The following is a 5,298-nucleotide window of genomic DNA, read 5'->3' as shown; positions in this document are numbered from 1 at the left end:
AGGAAGAGAAAATTTACTATTTACTATTCATTAAGTGAAGTGGACCATCATGAAGGTCTTCATCCTTGTCATCTTCATGTTGAGTAGGATGAGGAGGAAGAGAAAGAAGAGAGTTGGGTCTTGCTGTCTTGCGGGGGGTCTTGCTGTCTAGGGGTGGCAGAGACAGAAGAAAATCCACATGTAAGTGTGCTCGTGCAGTTTAAGGCCACGTTAAATATCTTTTATACAGTTGTATTTAGAGTGTACAATAAACAATAAAGTGCTGAACAATGTTTCATCGAAATAACACTATCCTTATTCATTCACCCAACCAGAGCTACTACAAGCATATTTACATACAATGTAGGCCATAGAAATTACACTATACTGATTTATTGAGCCACATAAGATTGTTACAAATGTCATTTATGTATTTGTATTTCCAGTGTATAACATGGCACAGAGAGAGCAGTACATATGGTTTCATGAAAATAACATTGGTTCATTACACAATTATCTCTTAACAAAACACAATTTACATGTGTCTCTTTACAGAGATTATACAATACAGTTCAGAATGCTGCGAATAGTGTTTCATAGATATGACAGTATATTGATTCATTCACACAACCAGCACGCTTAGAAACATCTTTTACCCATAAAATGTTATGAAGTGTAGAACGTTCAGCAATAGTCCTGAACAATGAGGTTTACAGAAACAACGTTATGCTGGTTTATGCACACAAATAGCAGTCTTAGCAACATCTTTTACACGTGTGTCATAAAGAATGCACACCGTGCAGCGAGTGCTGAACTCAGTGCTTCATAGAAATAAAACTGATTCATCCACACAAGTTGACCTGTTAGAAATTCCTTTACACATGTGTCTTTGGAGAGTGTAAAACATGCGGCACAGGGAACGGAACAAAATGCTTCGTTAAGTAACATGGGACTTATTTATTTATTCAATTGACACTCTTAGAAACACATTTACACAGCTCCTTAAAAAGTGTATAATGGGGCCAGGCATGGTGGCTCACACCTGTAATCCTAGCACTTTGGGAGGCCAAGGCGGGCGGGTCACCTGAGATCAGGAGTTCGAGACCAGCCTGGCCAACATGGTGAAACCCTGTCTCTACTAAAAATAAAAATAAAAAATTAGCCAGGCGTGGTATGGCGGCGGGCACCTATAGTCCCAGCTACTCAGGAGACTGAGGCAGGAGAATTGCTTGAACCTGGGAGGCAGAGTTTGCAGTGAACCAAGACGTCACCACTGCACTCCAGCCTGAGCAACAGAGACAGAATCCATCTCAAAAAAAAAAAAAAAAAAGTGTGTAATGGGCAGAAGAGTGCTGAATGCATGATTCTATGAAATAAAATTCTTCTGATTCAGTCACATAACTATATTTCTTATGGTTTGGATATTTGTCTCCTCCAAATCTCATGTTGAAATGGGATCCCCAATGTTGGAGGTCGGGCCTGATGGGGAGTGTCTGGGTCACGGGGGCAGATGCCTCATGAGTGGCTTGGTGCTATCCTCATGATAAATGACTGAGTCCTTGTGTTGCGGTCACATGAGATCTGGTTGTTTAAAAGAGCTTGGCCCCTTCTCCCTCTCTCTCCTGCTCCCACCCTCACCTTGGGATGTGCTGTTCCCCCTTCATCTCTGGCCATGACTGTAAGCTTCCTGAGGCCCCTCACCAGAAACTGAATAGATGGTAGTGCCATGCTTGCACAGCCTGCAGAACCGTGAGCCTGTTAAACCTCTTTGCCTGGCGAAACCCCGTCTCTACTAAAAATATAAAAACTAGCTGGGCATGGTGGCGCACGCCTGTAATCCTAACTACTTGGGAGGTTGAGGCAGAAGATTCACTGGAACTTAGGAGGCAGAGTTTGCAGTGAGCAGAGATTGAGCCACTGAACTCCAGCCTGGGCGACAGAACAAGACTCTGTCTCAAAAGAAAAAAAAAAAGAAAAGAAAAGAAAAGAAAAAAACTCTCTTTGCTTTATAAATTACCCAGCGTCAGGTATTTCTTTATAGTAGTGCCAAAATGGCCTAGCACAGTACACTTCAAAATATTTTTTTTTTGGGATCTCCGCAGTTTATCCACTAGTGTCTTTTTTTAAATTTTATTATTATTATACTTTAAGTTTTAGGGTACATGTGCACAACGTGCAGGTTTGTTACATCTTCAAAATATTTTTACGCATCTATCTGTTGCGAATGTATAGCCTGCAGCATGGAATCCTAAATGCCGTGCTTCACAGTAATACCAGCATACTAATCCATTCCTACCACCGGCACTCTAAGTGTCTTTCATACATGTGCCCTCGCATATATAACATGAAGCACAGATTATCAAATACAGTATTTCAGATGTAAAATGGCCCTGATTTACTTAAAATGAGTACTTTAGAAAATACTGAACACATGGCTCTTTAAAGAATGTATAGCAGGCAGCACGGAGTGGTGAACACAGTGGTTCAAACACATTACAGTATCTGATTCATTCAGGTAAGTAGAAATCTTAGAAACATCTTTTAAACATGTTTGTTTAGAGAATGTATCACATGTAGCAAAGAGTCTTCCAGACACTTCACGGTACTGATTCATTCATACAACTAGCGCTCTTAGAAATACCATCATACAGCCGGGTGCGGTGGATCACGCCTGTAATCCCAGCACTTTGGGAGGTTGAGGTGGGCGGATAACAAGGTCAAGAGATCGAGACCGTCCTGGCTAACACAGTGAAACCCCATCTCTACTAAAAATAAAAATAAACAAAAAAAATCAGCTGGGCATGGTGGCGTGCACCTGTAGTCCCAGCTACTCAGGAGGCTGAGGCAGGAGAATCACTTGAAACCGGGAGGTGGAGGTTGCAGTGAGCCGAGATCGTGCCACTGCACTCCAGCCTGGCGACAGAGCAAGACTCCATCTCAAAAAAAAAAAAAAAAAAAAAAGAAAAGAAAAAGAATTACCATCGTACACATGTCTTTTGCTTTTTTTAAAAACAGGTCTCACTCTGTCACCCAGGCTGGAGTGCAGTGTTATGATCTTGGCTCACTATAGCCTCCACCTCCCAGGCTCAGGTGATCCTCCCACGTCAGCCTCCCAAGTCACTGGGACTATAGGCGTGCACCACCACACCTGGCTAAATTTTGTATTTTTTGTAGAGATGGGGTTTCACCACATTGCCCAGGCTGGTCTCAAACTCCTGGACTCAGGCAATCCACCCACCTCAGCCTCCCAAAGTGCTGGGATTACAGGTATGAACATGCGTCCTTACACACTATTCAGCCCATACTGAACAGAGTGTGTCACATCAAAACACTTGATTCATGTTTGGTCCCCACAGCAAGCATTCTCATAAACGTGATTTATGCATGTCTCTTTAGAGTACATAACAGGCACAACAGATGGAAATACGGTGTGTTATGGGCTCAATTGTGCACCCCCACAAAATTCATATGAAGTCCCAAGCCCCAGGGGATCAGGATGTAACCATATTTAGATGTAACCATACTGGCTGGGCGTGGTGGCTCATGCCTGTAATGCTAGCACTTTGGGAGGCCGATGCAGGCAGATTACCTGAGGTCAGGAATTCGAGACCAGCCTGGCCCACATGGCGAAACCCCGTCTCTACTAAAATACAAAAATTAGCTGGGCGTGGTGGTGGGTGCCTGTAATCCAAGCTACTTGAGAGGCTGAGGCAGGAGAATTGCTTGAACCTGGGAGGTGGAGGTTGCAGTGAGCAGAGATGGTGCCACTGCACTCCAGCCTGGGCTACAGAGTAAGACTCTATCTCAAAAAAAAAAAAAAAAAAAAAAAAACAATCAACAACAACAAAAAACGGTATAACCATATTTAGAAATAAGTTTGTAAACAGATGATTAAGTTAAAACGAGGCAGCCAGGCCTGGTGGCACATGCTTATGGTCTCAGCTACTTGGGCCGTTGAGGTAGGAAGATTGCTGGAGCCCATGAGGTCGAGGCTGCTGTGAGCCATGATCTCACCACTGCACTCTATCCTGGGTGACCGAGCAGGACCCTGTCACAAAAAAAAAAAAAGCAATGAGGGTAGAGCCCTAATCCAATAGGACAGATGTCCTTATCAGAACAGAAAGAGACACCAGGAGTTAGCATGTACAGAAAAGGAGCCATGTGGGGACAGAATGATAAAGTGGCCATCTGCAAGCAAGGAAAAGAGGACTCAGGAGAAACCAAATATGTCAGCACCTTTATCTTAGACTTCCAGGCTCCAGAACTGTCAAAAATGAACTTCTGCTGTTTAAGCCTCCCAGGGTATGGTGTTTTGTTAAAGTGACCCTGGCAAACTTGTGCTGATTTTGGTACTGGGAGGCAGAGTGCGGCTGTAACAAAGTTCTAAAAATGTGGAAGTAGCTTTGAAACTGGGTAATGGGTGGGGGTTAGAAGAGTTTTGAGGTACCTGCTAGAAAGCGCAGATTACCCTGAAGAGATTGCTGGTAGAAATGTGGATGGTAAAAACCATTCTGATGAGACCTCAAGTGGAAAAGATGAGTATCTTGCTGGAGAATAAAGGCCAACCTTGTTACATAAAGTGGTGAAGGCTTGGTTGAATTGTGCCCTAGCATTTTGTGGAAGGTAGAATTTGTGATAAACTTGGATATTTAGCTGACTTAGGAGATTTCTGAGCAAAGTATTAGAAGTCTGGCTTGATTTCTCCTTCCTGCTTATAATAAAATGTGGGAGAAAATAGATAAATTGAAGGTATTATTAAGCAAAAAGGAACTAGAAATTGAAGACTTGGAATATTATGAGACTACTCATATTTCAGAAAAAAAATAAAGTGATTTCTGAAAAGAACACCAAGAATGTTGCTGGAAAATCGCCCAGTAATGAGATTAAGAGTGTGACTCATAGATCTGCTTAGCCATCTCAGCCAAAGCAGGAGAGGGATGGGGCTATACCAGCAGATACACTGACAGCTTGGACCAAAGAGGACAGAGATGGTACACAATGAAAGACGAATGTCAGAGTTCTGGGATTGTACAGGAGGGAACGCTAGAGTTGTGAACATGTGTTATCCTTCAAGCAAAGAAAGGAATGACTCTGAAAGTGATTCTGAGATTGGCAGGGCTTCAACTACCATCACAAGCAAAGAGAGCACAGAACAAGGGGTTGAGGTTGTCACCTCCTTGGGTTCAGCAGTCCAGGTCACCACCATCTAGGTCCTCAGGGCAGGGCTGCCATTCAGGCTTTGGGGTTGGGGGCGTTGCTCGGGGCTCTCCTGGAAGGGTTGCCAACCAGGGTGACGGGAGCAAGATTGCTGCCCATTGT

The 5,298-nt window shown here is 43.4% G+C and overlaps 2 annotated features.

Moving 5' to 3' along the window:
- Positions 3,855 to 4,410: a transcriptional cis regulatory region, noted in NCBI's record as "candidate enhancer chr8.526 targeted for multiplex CRISPR interference". NCBI's record gives its function as "positively regulates ASAH1 gene expression with high confidence in K562 cells {active_cell/tissue: K562}" and the evidence as "EXISTENCE:mutant phenotype evidence [ECO:0000015][PMID:30612741]".
- Positions 4,773 to 5,067: a silencer, noted in NCBI's record as "tiled region #4415; HepG2 Repressive non-DNase unmatched - State 21:Repr". NCBI's record gives its function as "represses a minimal TATA promoter and a strong SV40 promoter by Sharpr-MPRA in HepG2 cells {active_cell/tissue: HepG2}" and the evidence as "EXISTENCE:reporter gene assay evidence [ECO:0000049][PMID:27701403]".

This window comes from Homo sapiens, chromosome 8, assembly GCF_000001405.40.
Source record: "Homo sapiens chromosome 8, GRCh38.p14 Primary Assembly".
NCBI classification, from domain to species: Eukaryota; Metazoa; Chordata; class Mammalia; order Primates; family Hominidae; genus Homo; species Homo sapiens.
Note: the sequence above shows the minus strand (reverse complement) of the source record. Positions and strands in the feature narration are given on the sequence as shown.